The sequence below is a fragment of the Homo sapiens genome, chromosome 9 (genome assembly GCF_000001405.40).
Source record: "Homo sapiens chromosome 9, GRCh38.p14 Primary Assembly".
Lineage (NCBI taxonomy): Eukaryota > Metazoa > Chordata > Mammalia > Primates > Hominidae > Homo > Homo sapiens.
In genome coordinates, this window is record NC_000009.12 from 128,838,155 (window position 1) to 128,853,521 (window position 15,367).

Sequence of the window (15,367 nt, forward strand, 5' to 3'; positions counted from 1 at the left end):
TCAGCTGGAGTCAGCATGGCCCTGACCTCTCAGTCCCACTCAGCCCAAGTCTTGCCCACTCACCTCGTCTCCTTCGTCCACCAGGGCCTGGAAGGCTGTGAACAGGGCCCCATAGCCACCAACAGTCACCAGCACATTCCTGAGCGGGTCTATCTCCTGACCCAGCAGCTCCCCAAAGAAACTTGCCAGGATCTTCGTCAGTGGTGGGTAACCCTGCCAGGACAGCAGGGGTTAACTGTCCAGCTCAGCCTGGGCCCATCCTCCGGCCCAGCTGTATCCAGGCAATTCTAGCACCTTCCAGCAGCAGGCCTGGGGGCAAAGTCAGGTACTGGTAGCCTGGGCCCCAGGGGACGTGGAATAGATCAGCTTTCAACACTCTGGATTCCTCTACACACCAAGCTATTTGTGGGATTTCTTTGATCTCATCCTCTCAACAACCCAGAGGCAGGTGCTATTGTGATCCTGTGTACTCTGGGAGGTAAAGGTCACACAATCTATATGGTCCCAGACTCCAGGGTGCCAACCACCAGGCCTGCACTGACTCAGATATCCAGTGCTAAGCTCTTCCATCTCCTCCACCAGCATTTGCCACAGGGCCTGTTCTGTGCCAGGCCCGAAGCCCAGGGCGGGGATTTAGCAGAGAACCAGAGGAAGTGCTTGCCTCCATGAACCTCAGTCCAAGAGCCCACAAGGCAGTAGAAACTCCCCACTTTCCACATCTGTAAGTTTAAGAAGCATGTTTGTGCCCACTTGATCCTCCCAGCAGCTTTGCGGGAGAGGCTTTTATTTATTTATTTATTTATTTATTTATTTATTTATTTATTTTGAGACAGGGTCTCACTCATGTCACCCAGGCTGGAGTGCAGTGGCACAATCGCGGCTCCCTGCAACCTCCGCCTCCTGGGTTCAAGTGATTCTCCTGCCTCAGCCTCCCAAGTAGCTGGGACTACAGGCACGCACCACCATGCCTGGTTAATTTTTGTATTTTTAGTGGAGACGGGGTTTCACCATGTTGGCCAGACTGGTTTCGAACTTCTGACCTTGGGTAATCTGCCTGCTTTGGCCTCCCAAAGTGCTGGGATTACAGATGTGAGCCACCGTGCCTGGCCTGATGCCCACTATTTGACAGGTAGAAAAATAGAGACCCAGAGAGAAGAAATTACTTGTCTAAAGTCACACACAGTTGACAGTCAGGAACCTCATGTTGCAGCTTTGTAAGCACCCCTTTTTGAGAGGAAGATTAGATCCAGAAACTTGTTTGCTGAGGACACTTATAAAATACTCAAGGTGAAACCCCGTCTCTACTAAAAATACAAAAAATTAGCTGGCATGGTGGCGGGCACCTGTAGTCCCAGCTCTACTCGGGAGGCTGAGGCAGAAGAATGGCGTGAACCCGGGAGGCGGAGCTTGCAGTGAGCCGAGATCGCGCCACTGCACTCCAGCCTGGGCGACAGAGCGAGACTCCGTCTCAAAAAAAACAAAAACAAACAAAACAAAACAAAAATACTCAAGGCTAAGCCAAGTGATTGAAACTTTATCTAGAACTCAACTCAGTAACTCACTAAACCAGATTTGGCCACACAAATATAAAAATTTTCTGTACAACAAGAGGCACAGGCCAGGCACCGTGGCTCACGCCTGTAATCCTAGCATTTGGGAGTATGAGGCGGGAGGGTTGCTTGAGGCCAGGAGTTTGAGAACAGCCTGGGCAACACAGAGGGACTCTGTCTCTACTGATGGAAAATCAAAAAAATTATCCAGGTGTAGTATCACGTGCCTGTAGTCCCAGGTACTCGGGAGGCTGAGGCAGGAGGATTGCTTGAGCCCAGGAGATCAAGGCTGAAGTGAGTTATGATCACACCAGTCTGGGTAATAAAACTGAGACTCTGTCTTAGACAATAAATTAATTAATTAAATAAAAATAAAAGGCACCATGAGCAAGGTCAAAACAGGAAGAGAAAAATATTGCAACATACAAGAAAGAGGTAAAATATTTAATGAGGCTGGGCACAGTGGCTCATGCCTGTAACCCAGCACTTTGGGAGGCTAAGGTGGGAGGATTGCTTGAGCCCAGGAGTTTGAGACCAGCCTGGGTAACATAAGGAGACCCTGTCTCTATTTTGTTGTTGTTGTTGTTGTTGTCACCCAGGCTGGAGTGCAATGGCACCACCTCGGCCCACTGCAACCTCCGCCTCCCGGGTTCAAGCGATTCTTGTGCCTCAGCCTCCCAAGTAGTTGGGATTACAGGCACCCACCACCACGCCCAGCTAATTTTTATTAGAGATGGGATCTCACCATGTTGGGCAGGCTGGTCTTGAACTCCTGACCTCAGGTGATCTGCCAGCCTTAGCCTCCCAGAATGCTGGGATTATAGGCGTGAGCCACCATACCCAGCTTTTGTCTCTAGTTAAAAGAAAAAAAAAAGAAAGAAAGAAAGAAAAGAAAAAGATACATACCCAAATGATTTTTTTTTTTTTTGGATCAAAGAAGGAACTTTCCAACCAGCTCTGAGACCAGCCTATTGGCAGGGATGTAAATGAGTAAACCTTACTGGAGGGCAATTATTTACTTAGTTGTTTGTTTATTTTTCAGACAGGATCTCACTATGTTGCACTGGCCTCAAACTCCTGGGCTCAAACAATCTTCCTGCCTCAGACTCCCAAGTAGCTGGGATTATAGGCACACACTGTTTCTTAACAATATCCACCTATTGTATTTATAAATATTTATAGTCTTTCTTTTGCTAGTTTTACCTCCAGGAATTTATCTTAGAGAAATACATATGTATACAAAGATGTCCACACAGGGATATTTGCTGTGGCATTGCTTATGATATTGAGATAGCAGAAGCAGTCCATCAGTGCAGAACTGCTTAAATAAATTATGGCACATCCAGGCAACAGAACAGTATGCAGCCATTAAAAAGAACGAGTGCGGTCGGGTGCGGTGGCTCACGCCTGTAATCCCAGCACTCTGGGAGGCTGAGGTGGGTGGATCACGAGGTCAAGAGATCGAGACCAACCGGACTAACATGGTGAAACCCAGTATCCACTAAAAATACAAAAAATGGCCAGGTGCGGTGGCTCACGCCTGTAATCCCAGCACTTTGGGAGGCCGAGGCAGGCGAATCACGAGGTCGGGAGTTTGAGACCAGCCTGGCCAACATGGTGAAACCCCGTCTCTACTAAAAATACAAAAATTAGCTGGGCATGGTGGCGGGCGCCTGTAATCCCAACTACTCAAGAGGCTGAGGCAGGAGAATGGCTTGAACCCAGGAGGCGGAGGCGGAGGCGGAGGCGGAGGTTGCAGTGAGCCGAGATCGTGCCGCTGCACTCCAGACTCCAGCCGGGGCGACAGTGCGAGACTGTCTTAAAAAAAAAACAAAACAAAAATTAGCTGGGCGTGGGGGCGCACCCCTATAGTCCCAGCTACTCGGGAGGCTGAGGCAGGAGAATCTCTTGAACCTGGGAGGGGGAGGTTGCAGTGAGCCGAGATTGCGCCCCTGCACTCCAGCCTGGCGACAGAGGGAGACTCCATCTCAAAAAAAAAAAAAAAAAAAGAATGAGGGTTCAGTGGCTCACGCCTGTAATCCCAGCACTTTTGGAGGCCGAGGTGGCAGGATCACTTGAGCCCAGGAGTTTCAGACCAGTCTGAGCAACATGGTGAAACCCTGTCTCTAAATTAGCTGGGTGAGGTGGCATGCCCCTGTTGTCCCAGCAACTCTAGAGGCTGAGGTGGGAGGATCACATGAGCCCCAGGAAATGGCATATCATGTGAGCCCCATGAGGTACAGGCTGCAGTGAGCCGTGATCATGTCACTACACTCTAGCCTAGGTGACAGGAGTGAGACCCTGACTCAAAAATAAATAAATAAATATATAAATAAAATTAGCTGGGCATGGTGATGCACACCTGTAGTCCCAGTTACTCCAGAGGCTGAGGTGGGAGGACCACTTGAGACTGGCAGGGTCAAGGCTGCAGTGGACCATGATCGCACCATTGCACTCCAGCCTGGATAACAGAGTGAGACCTTGTCTCAAAAAAGAAAAAGAAAAAAAGAACCACTGTTCTAATCCAAGCAGTGTCACATATTTACTATGTGGTCCTTTCCGGAAAACGTTTGGATTTATTGTGTAATCCAACCAGTAGCTCATCTTTCAGGACTTGGTTTAAGTGTCACCTCCTCCAGGAAGTCTTCGTGCATCTCTCCAGCCCCCTCCCCAGGTTTCATTCCCTCTTTCTTACTCGCACGATATCCCATCCTCCTCCATCACATCATGTATCAACTGCCTGTCGTTACTGGCTTCTTGTCTGCCATCCCCACTAGACCACGAGGCGAAGGCTCTGGGACAGAGGATACGCTCAGTAAACACTGAACTATGGTCATACAGAATCCCCTGGCTCTGTCCCCTGAAGCCTGACAGCTGTGTGGGCTTGAAGTCCAGAAAGCCCTGTCCCCTTCCTCCCCCAGTGCCTCCACGAGAGATGGGGAGACTCACAAATGTCTTGGTGTACTGGTTAAGCATGAAGTCTCCACTGACAGCGTGCTGAAAGGCTTCCACGGCAAAGTCTGGTGGTGGGAAATCCGGGAAGCCCTGGCCCAAGTTCACGACGTCATGCTCACTGGCCAGTTTCACAAACTCCACCCTGGGTAACAAATGGAGAATCAGCACCAGCCCAGCCCTCCATGGTGACCTGGACTTCGGCCTGTTTAGAAAAACTGGACAACCGGCCAGGTGTGGTGGCTCACGCCTGTAATCCCAGCACTTTGGGAGGCCGAGGTGGGCGGATCACCTGAGGTCAGGAGTTTGAGACCAGCCTGGCCAACATGGTGAAACTCTGTCTTCACTAAAAATACAAAAGTTAGTCAGGCATGGTGGCAGGGGCCTGTAATCCCAGCTACTTGGAAGGCTGAGGCAGAAGAATCACTTGAACCCGGGAACCGGAGGTTGAAGTGAGCCGAGATCGCACCATTGCACTGCAGCCTGGATAACAAGAGTGAGATTCTGTCTTAAAAAAACAAAAACAAAAAACAAAAAACACACACATACACACACAAGAAAAACAAAAACTAGACAATCAGCAACTGTCCTGGCCTGAAGATCTGCCTAAGTGTCACAGCTGGTCCCCTACATTGAGATTAGGTCAGTCAGGCACATTGTTAATCGCAGGAATCAGCCCAGGGGCTTTCCAAGTTCTTCCACCATGACCCATAGGAAGAAATCATCTTTTTTTTTTTTTTTTGACAGAGTTTCGCTCTATCCCCTAGGCTGGAGTGCAGTGGTGCAATCTCAACTCACTGCAACCTCCGCCTCCCGAGGTCAAGCGATTCTCATGCCTCAGCCTCCTGAGTAGCTGGGATTACAGGCACCCGCCACCACGCCCAGCTAATTTTTGTATTTTTAGTACAGATGGGGTTTTGCTATGTTGGCCAGGCTGGTCTCGAACTCCTGACCTCAGGTGATCCACCGCCCCCCTTGGCCTCTCAAAGTGCTAGCAGTACAGGCGTGAGCCACCACTACCGGCCAAGAAATCACCTTTGCATCATCAACCCTGTGGAGCACAAACATGGAATGGAAGCTTCATCCTTCTTGGTGCAATCTACTGCAGTATTTTCTGTCCTGTCCTATCCTACTCTATTCTTTCCAAATACTAGTTGAGACCCCCTGTACAGATTGCATGACTCCTCCTTGGATTCGTCAACACCACAGTTAAACGCTCTGCTCATATAGCCTTCACAATGGCCTGTGAGGCACATCTTGTTCCTGGACCACTGTGGGGATAAGGAGTGGAGTGACTTGCCTAAAGCCTCCCAGCTAGTACAAGGCACAGCCAGCCAGCCTTTCTACTTCCATCTCAAGCAAAGTTTGATGCTCTTGACCCTACTCTGGGCAGAACAGGGCCCCACCAGCCCAGGCACACATCATCTCTGGACCCATAATCCTCTGTTCTGGCCCTGCCTGGGGGCCACCTCTCCAGGTGGGAGAAAGGCTGGGAAGCTGGATGAAGAGGCTGGTATGTGGTTTGGGGCTAGTTTGGAGCAGAGTGAAGACCTGGCTGAGTTGAATTTGCATACCAATAAATATGTCTAAAATGTGTCATTTTTGGCTGGGCCCGGTGGCTTATGCCTGTATTCCCCAGCACTTTGGAAGGCCGAGGAGGGCAGATCCCTTGAGGTCAGGAGTTTGAGACCAGCCTGGACAACATGCTGAAACCCCATTTTCTCTAAAGATATAAAAATTAGGGCCAGGCACAGTGGCTCATGCCTGTAATCCCAGTACTTTGGGAGGCTGAGGCGGGTGGATCACGAGGTCAGGAGTTCGAGACCAGCCTGGCAAACATGGTGAAATCTCATCTCTACTAAAAATACAAAAAAAAAAAAAAAATTAGCTGGGCGTGGTGGCGCACGCCTGTAATCCCAGCTACTTGGGAGGCTGAGGCAGGAGAATTGCTTGAACCTGTGAGGGGGAGGTTGCAGTGAGCCGAGATCATGCCACTGCACTCCAGCCTGGGTGACAGAGTAAGATTCTGTCTTGCGGGGGAAAAGAAAAAGAAAAAAAATTAGCTGGGCGTTGTGTTGCACGCCTGTAATCCCAGCTACTTGGAGGCTGAAGCAGGAGAATCATTTGAACCCAGGAGGCAGAGGTTGCAGTGAGCCGAGACCGCACCATTGCACTCCAGCCTGGGCGACAAGGGCAAAACTCCGTCTCAAAAATAAAATGAAAATAAAACAAGTCAAAAAAGAAAACAATATCAACCTCTGCAAATGTCTGGTGAAGAGCTGACTGTATCTTACTTGCTTATTTTACTTATCTTAGTTTATCTGACTCTATACCAAGTGAGAAAGAGTCATCCCTGGAAAGGCCTTAGCTTGGTGCCTGGGTAGAATGGCTTTGGACAGCATTTTACTTTTTCCTCCCCAACGCTCTCCAGGTGGGTATAACTCTTCATTTTGCAGCTGGGGAGATGAGGCTCAGAGCAGGTATGTCACCTGTCCTAGTGGCACAGTCATGCAGAAGAAAGCTGAGATTTGAACCAAGCCTACTCCCTCGGGCCCTGTCTCTCCTGAGCTATGGCTGGAATCTGGCAGTCTGTGTACCGCCACCATCTGGAGTACTACTGAGTTGCTGTAAACCCAGGGATGGCCAACCCATGCCCGAGGGGACACCCACACACCTCCCCAGCCCAGCTGGCTCACCAGGGGTTGTAGTCGATCCCGTCTAGCCTTCGGGCCTGCAGCTGTTTGGCCATGGCGAGCTGGAGACGAACAAGTGGAAGGTCAGAGATGGAATCTGTCTGGGTGCAGCAGTCCGAGCTTGCACACAGGAGGGACAGCTGCTTTCAGGCCACAGCGCCATCCTGTCTGCTCCCAGGAGGGGGAAGAGATAGAGTTTGCAGAAGGGCAGGTTTCTGCCTGCCTCCCAAGCCTGTTATGCTCCAACACCCTCACCTGGTTCCTCTTGACTCCAGCAGCCTCCACCTCCCCAACCTGCAGGGGCTGCCTGGCGCCTGCCCAGTGGAGACTTCCAGCCCTGGCTCCATGCGTCCTGAGACAGAGCCCTGACTTGGCCAGGTTAAAGTCTGACTCAGGAAGGGCTGAGGGTTAAAGAAGAGGAGCAGGAGGTGGGTGGAGCGGAGAGGGAGGATAATGGCAACAGTGACAGCAGCAGCCTCCACTTACAGAGGTCTTGCTAAGCACTTCCATTTCATTCCCTGAATGACCTGGTCAGGCCTATCTTATCAATGAGAAAACAGAAGGTGGAAAACAGAGGCTGGAGGGTGCAGGAGGGGGAGTGATGTGTTTAAGGCCACACAACACACACACTCAGACTTAGGCCTGTTGGACCCAAGGCCATGTCCTAACTCTGAGGGAGGCACTAATCCGCTCCTCGGAGGGTCCCGGGGTCCTGGCTCCTGGCTCGCCCCTCCCCTCCCGGTGTTCCTCCCAGGCCAGCTCCCTCCTCAGCCACTGGTGTGCAGAAACTGGCCAGGGGCTGGGCACAGTGGCTCACGCCTGTAATCCCAGCACTTTGGGAGGCTGAGGCGGGCAGATCACCTGAGGTCAGGAGTTCGAGACCAGCCTGGCCAACATGGTGAAACCCCCATCTCTACTAAAAATACAAAAATTAGCTGGGCGTGGTAGCACGCACCTGTTATCCCAGCTACTTGGGAGGCTGAGGCACAAGAATCACTTGAACCTGGGAGGCAGACATTGCAGTGAGGCAAGAGCACACCACTGCACTCCAGCCTGAGCATTAGAGTGAAACTCAGTCTGGGAAAAACAAACAAAGAAACTTATCTGGGCGTCATGACACATGCCTGTAATCCCAGCTACTCAGGAGGCTGAGGCCTGAGAATCACTTGAACCTGGGAGATGGAGATTGCAGTGGGCCAAGATCGTGCCAGCCACTGCACTCCTGCCCGACCCAACGAGCAAGACTCTACCAAAAAAAAAAAAAAAAAAAAAAAAAGAAAGAAAGAAATTGGCCAGACCTGAGAGCCACCAAACTCAGGTCCTAACCCACCTTGGCTGGGTGACCCTGGATAGGTAATTTGGCTCCTCCTGTCCTCAGAATCCCTTCAGCAGCAGGGACCTCACATGGGCTTTGTGGTCCCTGAGGAACCTTCCGTTCCTGTGGGTTTGCCAGTCCCAGATGGCTGGTGGGCCGTGGAGCTGGGGATCCAACATTCTTCTCAGCCACCTGCTGTGGTCAATAGTGAACCCTGGCTCAGGATTTTGCTCAGTTCCACCTCGCTCAGTTCCCACTGCACTCTCACTAGAGGTGCCACAATAGTCTCCATCTAACAGATGAGGACACTGAGGCTTGAAGAGGCTCAGGTACCTGCCCAGGGTCAGAAGAGAAGCTGGCAAGGACCTGGTCAGGGTGGCAGCCACAGTAATCTCAACACCAGGCCCCCCTGTCCTGGAGGGGCCTTGGGACCATTTGAGTAAGTGCCAGGTCTTCCATGGCCCAGGAACCCCACCGCGCCTGGCTCAGTTGACATTTATTGAGTCCCTACCAGGTACTGGGTTCTGGGATGGGCACAGGGGATCATGGGAAGCAGCACCCTACAGCGCCCAAGCTGACTATTCAGATGCAGAGCTACAAGTTCTAGACTAGAGAAGCAGGGGCAAGGGAGAAGCCCACATACAGGCTGCAGTTAAAGAGGGCTCCCTGAAAGAGAAGGCTCATGCACAGCTTTGAAGCCAGGAACGAGCCAGACCCCAGAAGCCCCAGGCCATGCAGGTGGCAGAGTATTGGGGTTAGGGCACTTACAGTCTGGTGCAAGAACCAAGTGAGTGGGGCTCCAGCCTTCCTTCCCTGAAGGGGCCCCACCAGGTGCACAGAGATGGCTGCTGCAGTCCTGAACATGCCTCCCAGAGCCTTGGGGCACTGCAGACTTTTCCAGAGGCAGGGGAGAAGGGAGGAAACAGCCCTGGCCAGAAAATGCCTCCGAGCTCAGGACTTGGGTCCCCCACACACAGCTCTAACAATAACAACAACAACAACAACAACAACAACAACAATATGGTCATTGCGTGCCAGGAATAGCACCAAGTGCTCTGTTGCATGATTATCCGACTCCGTCCTTATAAGAACCCTGTTACTCATATACAATACACCCCCCAGCAACCCAAGTGACCCTTTCAAAACACAAATCACCTCTAATTAAAAAATGATCCAGGAGAGGATCACTGATAGCCCTGAATATCACCAAGAGCATAAACCAAACATGTTCTGACTCTGGAAACACATACACCACCTGCAAATTATTCCTGCTGTAAAAGTGGCCCTAAATTAGATCACACTGTTGAATGACTAAAATACAGGGACAGAAGAACATGTTAAATAACACCATGGAGATGCAATCAACAAATTCAAGCAGGGCAATGTGTCTCACACCTGTAAACTCAGCACTTTGGGAGGCCAAAGCAGGAGGATCTCTTGAGCCCAGGAGTTTGAGACCAGCCTGGGCAACATACTGAAACACCGTCTCTACAAAAATACAAAAATTGACCAGGTGTGATGGTGCACACCTGTAGTCCCAGCTACTGGGGAAGCTAAAGTGGGAGAATCACTTGATCCTGGAGAGGTCAAGGCTACAGTGAGCCATGATCCCACCACTGCACTCCAGCCTGGGCGACAGAGGGAGATATGTCTCAAAAAAAAAAAAAAAAAAAAAAGTAAATGCCTGAAAAAGAAGAAAAAAATTGAAGAAATCACACTGCACAATTTGGAAGCTTAATGCAAACATACAGGAACCAAGAAAGTGTGATACTGCTTAAAGATAGATATATAAGTCAATTGAATAGAACTGACAGTCCAGAAATAAATGGTCACAATTGCTATTTGATAAGATGCTAAGAAACTCAAATGGGGGCCAGGCATGGTGGCTCACGCCTGTAATCCCAGCACTGTGGGAGGCTGAGGCGAGTGGATCACTTCAGGTCAGAAGTTTGTGACCAGCCTGGCCAACATGCTAAAACCTCGTCTCTACTAAAAATACAAAAATTAGCCAGGCATGGTGGTGTGCACCTGTAATCCCAGTTACTGGGAGGCTGAGGCAGAAGAATCACTTGAACTTAGGAGGTGGAGGATGCAGTGAGCCGAGATCACGCCACTCACTGCACTCCAGCCTGGGTGACAGAGTGAGACTCTGTCTCAAAAAAAAAAAAAAAAAAAAAATTGGGAGGCTGGGTGTGGCTCATGCCTGTAACACGAACACTTTGGGAGGCCAAGGCGGGAGGATCATTTGAGGTCAGGAGTTTGAGACCAGCGAAACCCCATCTCTAATAAAAATACAAAAAATTAGCTGGGTGTGGTGGCACATGACTGTAGTCCCAGCTACTTGTGAGGCTGAGGCAGGAGAACTGCTTGAACCTGGGAGGCAAAGGTTGCAGTGAGCCAAGATCGTGCCACTGTACTCCAGCCTAAGCGACAAAATGAGACTGTCTCAAAAAAAAAGGTGGGGAGGCCAGGCATGGTGGCTCATGCCTGTAATTCCAGCAATTTGGGAGGCTGAGGTGGACGGATCACCTGAGGTCAGGAGTTCGATACCAGCCTGGTCAACATGGTGAAACCCCATTTCTACGAAAAATACAAAATTAGCAGGGCATGGTGGCACATGCCTGTAGTCCCAGCTACCCAGGAGGCTGAGGCAGGAGAATCGCTGGAACCCAGGAGGCGGAGGTTGCAGTGAGCCGAGATCACACCACTGCACTCCAGGCTGGGTGACAGAGCAAGTCACCGGCTCAAAAAAAAAGCGGGGGTGGGGGGTGGGAAATAATAATCTTTTCAACAAATGAACAAATGGTGCTGAGACAACTAAATATCCACATGTAAATGAATGAATTTGGGGCCAGGCGTGGCAGCTTATGCCTGTAATCCCAGCACTTTGGGAGGCCGAGGCAGGCTGATCATGAGGTTAGGAGCTCAAGACCAGCCTGGCCAAGATGGTGAAACCAAGATGGTGTACTAAAAATACAAAAAATTAGCCAGGCATGGTGGTTGGCACCTGTAATCCCAGCTACTCAGGAGGCTGAGGCAGAGAATTGCTTCAACTTGGGAGATGGAGGTTGCAGTGAGCCGAGATCACGCCACTGCACTCCAGCCTGGGAGACAAAGTGAGACTCTGTCTCAAAAAAAAAAAAAAAGAAAAGAAAAGAAAAGAATGAATTTGGACCTCTATCTCACAGAATACACACATATAAATTTTTTATTTTCTTCTTTTTTTTTTTTTTTTTTTGAGATAGGGTCTCACGTTGTTACCCAGGCTGGAGTGCAGTGGTGCCTTCTCAGCTCACTGCAGCCTCGACTTCCTGGGTTCAAGTGATTCTCCTGCCTCAGCCTCCTGAGTAGCTGGGATTATACGTGTGTGCCACCATGCCTGGCTAATTTTTGTATTTTAATTAGAGATGGGGTTTTGCTATACTGGCCAGGCTGGTCTTGAACTCCTGGCCTGAAGTTGTTCTGCTCATGACGGCCTCCCACAGTGTTAGGATTGCAGGCATGAGCCACCATGCCTGGCCAGCCCAGGCTGTTCTTGAACCCCTGACTTCAAGCGATCCTCCTTCTTCAGTGTAGGGAAAAGAAAGAGAGATCAGACTGTTACTGTGTCTATGTAGAAATGGAAGACATAAGAAATTCCATTTTGACCTGTACCTTGAACAATTGCTTTGCTGAGATGTTGTTAATTTGTAACTTTGCCCCAGCCACTTTGCCCTAACTTTGAGCTCACAAAAACATGTGTTGTAGGGAACCAGGGTTTAAGGGATCTAGGGCTGTGCAGGATATGCCTTGTTAACAAAATGTTTACAAGCAGTATGCTTGGTAAAAGTCATCGCCATTCTCTAGTCTCAATAAACCAGGGGCACAATGCACTGCAGAAAGCCACAGGGACCTCTGCCTTGGAAAGCCGCGTATTGTCCGAGGTTTCTCCCCATGTGATAGTCTGAAATATGGCCTCGTGGGATGAGAAAGACCTGACCGTCCCCCAGCCCAACACCTGTAAAGGGTCTGTGCTGAGGTGGATTAGTAAAAGAGGAAAGCCTCATGAAGTTGAGATAGAGGAAGGCCACTGTCTCCTGCCTGCCCCTGGGAACTGAATGTCTCAGTATAAAACCTGATTATACATTTGTTCAATTCTGAGATAGGAGAAAAACCACCCTATGGCGGGAGGCGAGACACATTGGCAGCAATGCTGCCTGCTATTCTTTACTCCACTGAGATGTTTGGGTGGAGAGAAACATAAATCCGGCCTACATGCACATGCAGGCATAGTACCTCCCCTTGAACTTAATTATGACAGATTCTTTTGCTCATGTTTTTTGCTGAACTTCTCCTTATTATCACCCTGCTCTCCTACTGCATTCCTCTTGCTGAGATAATAAAAATAATAATCAATAAAAAGTGAGGAAACTCAGAGACCGGTACTGGTGCAGGTCCTTGATATGCTGCATGCCGGTCTCCTGGGCCCACTGTTGTTTCTCTACACTTTGTCTCTGTGTCTTATTTCTTTTCTCAGTCTCTCATCCCACCTGACGAGATATCCCACAGGTATGGAGGGGCAGGCCACCCCTTCATCTGACGCCCAATATGGGGCCTTTCTCCAGGGTGAAGTTATGCTGAGAACGTGAGTATTGAGGACAGCTGATGAGAGATTCCCGAGTACGTCCACGGTCAGCCTTGCAGTATGCTTGTGCGCTCGGAGGAATCCAGGGTAACAATGGGGCAAACTGAAAGTAAATATGCCTCTTATCTCAGCTTCATTAAAATTCTCTTAAGAAGAGGGGGAGTTAAAGCTTCTACAGAAAATCTAATTACGCTATTTCAAACAATAGAACAATTCTGCCCATGGTTTCCAGAACAAGGAACTTTAGATTTAAAAGATTGGGAAAAAATTGGCAAGGAATTAAAACAAGCAAGTAGGGAAGGTAAAATCATCCCACTTACAGTATGGAATGATTGGGCCATTATTAAAGCAACTTTAGAACCATTTCAAATAGAAGAAGATAGCATTTCAGTTTCTGATGCCCCTGAAAGCTGTGTGATAGATTGTGAAGAAGAGGCAGAGACAGAGTTCAAGAAAGGAACGGAAAGTTCACATTGTAAATATGTAGCAGAGCCGGTAATGGCTCAGTCAACGCAAAGTGTTGACTACAATCAATTACAGGAGGTAATATATCCTGAAACATTAAAATTAAAAGGAAAAAGTCCAGAATCATTGGGGCCATTGGGGCTACAACCACAATGGCCACCTCCTCCTCAGCCGAGTGAGTGCTGGGGGAGGCAGCCTGAAACTAGGCACACTGCGACTTGGCTCGTGGCACTCATTATTGCCCAACCTACAGTTCACTACAGTGAAGGAGCAATTCAGACTCGCCCTGCAGTGTCCTGTATGGGTCAAACAGTGGCCACTCTCTAAGGAAAAGTTGGGGGCGCTACATAAAATAGTTAAAAAACTATTTAAAAAAGGACATGTTTCACCCACTTTCTCTCTTTAGAATTCTCCTGTGTTTGTAATTCAGAAAAAATCAGGCAGATGGCGCATGCTGACTGACTTAAGAGCTGTTAATGCCATAATACAACCCATGGGTGCTCTCCAACCCGGGATGCCCTCTCTGGCCATGATCCCCAAAGACTGGCCTTTAATTATAATTGATCTGAAGGACTGCTTTTTTACCATTCCTCTGGCAAAACAGGATTTTGAAAAATTTGCTTTTACTATACCAGCCGTAAATAATAAAGAACCAGCCAGGTTTTAGTGGAAAGTGTTGCCTCAGTCCAACTATTTGTCAGACTTTTGTAGCTCAAGTTCTTCAACCAGTTAGAGACAAGTTTTCAGATTGTTATGTCATTCATTATGTTGATGATATTTTGTGTGCTGCAGAAACAAGAGACAAATTAATTGACTGTTACACATTTCTGCAGACAGATGTTGCAAACGCAGGACTGACAATAGCATCTGATAAGATTCAGACCTCTACTCCTTTCCATTATTTGGGAATGCAGGTAGAGGAAAGGAAAATTAAACCACAAAAAATAAAAATAAGAAAAGACACATTAAAAAACATTAAATGACTTTCAAAAATTGCTAAGACATATTAATTGGATTCGGCCAACTCTAGGCATCCCTACTTATGCCATGTCAAATTTGTTTTCTATCTTGAGAGGGGATCCAGACTTAAACAGTAAAAAACCATTAACTCCAGAAGCAACTAAAGAAATTGAATTAGTTGAAGAAAAAATTCGGTCAGCACAAGTAAATAGAATAGATCATTTAGCCCCACTCCAACTTTTGATTTTTGCTACTGCACATTCTCCAACAGGCATTATTGTTCAAAATACTGATCTTGCAGAGTGGTCATTCCTTCCTCACAGTACAACTAAGACTTTTACATTGTACTTAGATCAAATGGCTACATTAATTGGTCAGGCAAGACTACATATAGTAAAATTGTGTGGAAGTGACCCAGATAAAATCATTGTTCCTTTAAACAAGGAACAGGTTAGACAAGCTTTTATCAATTCTGCTGCATGCCAGATTGGTCTTGCTGATTTTGTGGGAATTATTGACAATCATTACCCAAAAACAAAAATCTTCCAGTTCTTAAAATTGATTACTTGGATTTTACCTAAAATTACCAGATATAAACCTTTAGAAAATGCTCTGATGGCGTTTACTGATTGTTCCAGCAATGGAAAAGTGGCTTAAACTGGGCCAAAAGAACAAGTCATTGAAACTCAATATCACTCAGCTCAAAGAGCAGAGTTGGTTGCTGTCATTTCAGTGTTACAAGGTTTTAATCAGCCTATTAACATTGTTTCAGATTCTGCATATGTAGTACAGGCTACAAAGGATGTTG

General features: G+C 48.4%; 2 protein-coding genes across 22 annotated transcripts in view, besides 2 other annotated features; both read right to left on the reverse strand.

Moving 5' to 3' along the window:
- Positions 1-15,367, reverse strand: part of KYAT1-SPOUT1 (KYAT1-SPOUT1 readthrough) — a 62,300-nt gene that overhangs the window by 18,504 nt on the left and 28,429 nt on the right. For all 3 annotated transcript variants that reach the window (NR_182311.1, NR_182310.1, NM_001414398.1), the window contains exons 2-4: positions 7,199-7,257; positions 4,500-4,647; positions 64-213 (exon numbers count right to left, since the gene is read on the reverse strand). Coding sequence is in view for 1 of the 3 variants with exons in the window: in NM_001414398.1 (NP_001401327.1) it covers positions 64-213; positions 4,500-4,647; positions 7,199-7,251 (351 nt within the window). In the remaining 2 variants the exon portion in view is untranslated. The remainder of the gene's footprint in view (positions 1-63; positions 214-4,499; positions 4,648-7,198; positions 7,258-15,367) is intronic.
- KYAT1 (kynurenine aminotransferase 1) overlaps positions 1-15,367 on the reverse strand; it is a 49,582-nt gene that overhangs the window by 5,213 nt on the left and 29,002 nt on the right. For 5 of the 19 annotated variants that reach the window (NR_148224.2, NR_109829.3, NM_001352989.2 and 2 more), the window contains exons 2-4: positions 7,199-7,257; positions 4,500-4,647; positions 64-213 (exon numbers count right to left, since the gene is read on the reverse strand). Coding sequence is in view for 16 of the 19 variants with exons in the window: in NM_001352989.2 (NP_001339918.1) it covers positions 64-213; positions 4,500-4,647; positions 7,199-7,251 (351 nt within the window). In the remaining 3 variants the exon portion in view is untranslated. Of the gene's footprint in view, positions 1-63; positions 214-4,499; positions 5,007-7,198; positions 7,364-7,450; positions 7,597-8,525; positions 8,706-9,278; positions 9,490-15,367 lie in introns of those variants that run through there. The other 14 variants (NM_001352995.2, NM_001352996.2, NM_001352994.2 and 11 more) reach the window with 10 other exon arrangements.
- Positions 178-678: an enhancer, noted in NCBI's record as "H3K4me1 hESC enhancer chr9:131600611-131601111 (GRCh37/hg19 assembly coordinates)". NCBI's record gives its function as "activates a minimal SCP1, AML or CMV promoter by ChIP-STARR-seq in primed H9 embryonic stem cells {active_cell/tissue: H9 hESC(primed)}" and the evidence as "EXISTENCE:reporter gene assay evidence [ECO:0000049][PMID:30033119]".
- Positions 6,987-7,213: a silencer, noted in NCBI's record as "fragment chr9:131607420-131607646 (GRCh37/hg19 assembly coordinates)". NCBI's record gives its function as "represses an EF-1alpha promoter that drives an FKBP-Casp9 reporter gene in an ReSE screen in phorbol 12-myristate 13-acetate-treated (for megakaryocytic differentiation) K562 erythroleukemia cells {active_cell/tissue: K562(+PMA)}" and the evidence as "EXISTENCE:reporter gene assay evidence [ECO:0000049][PMID:32094911]".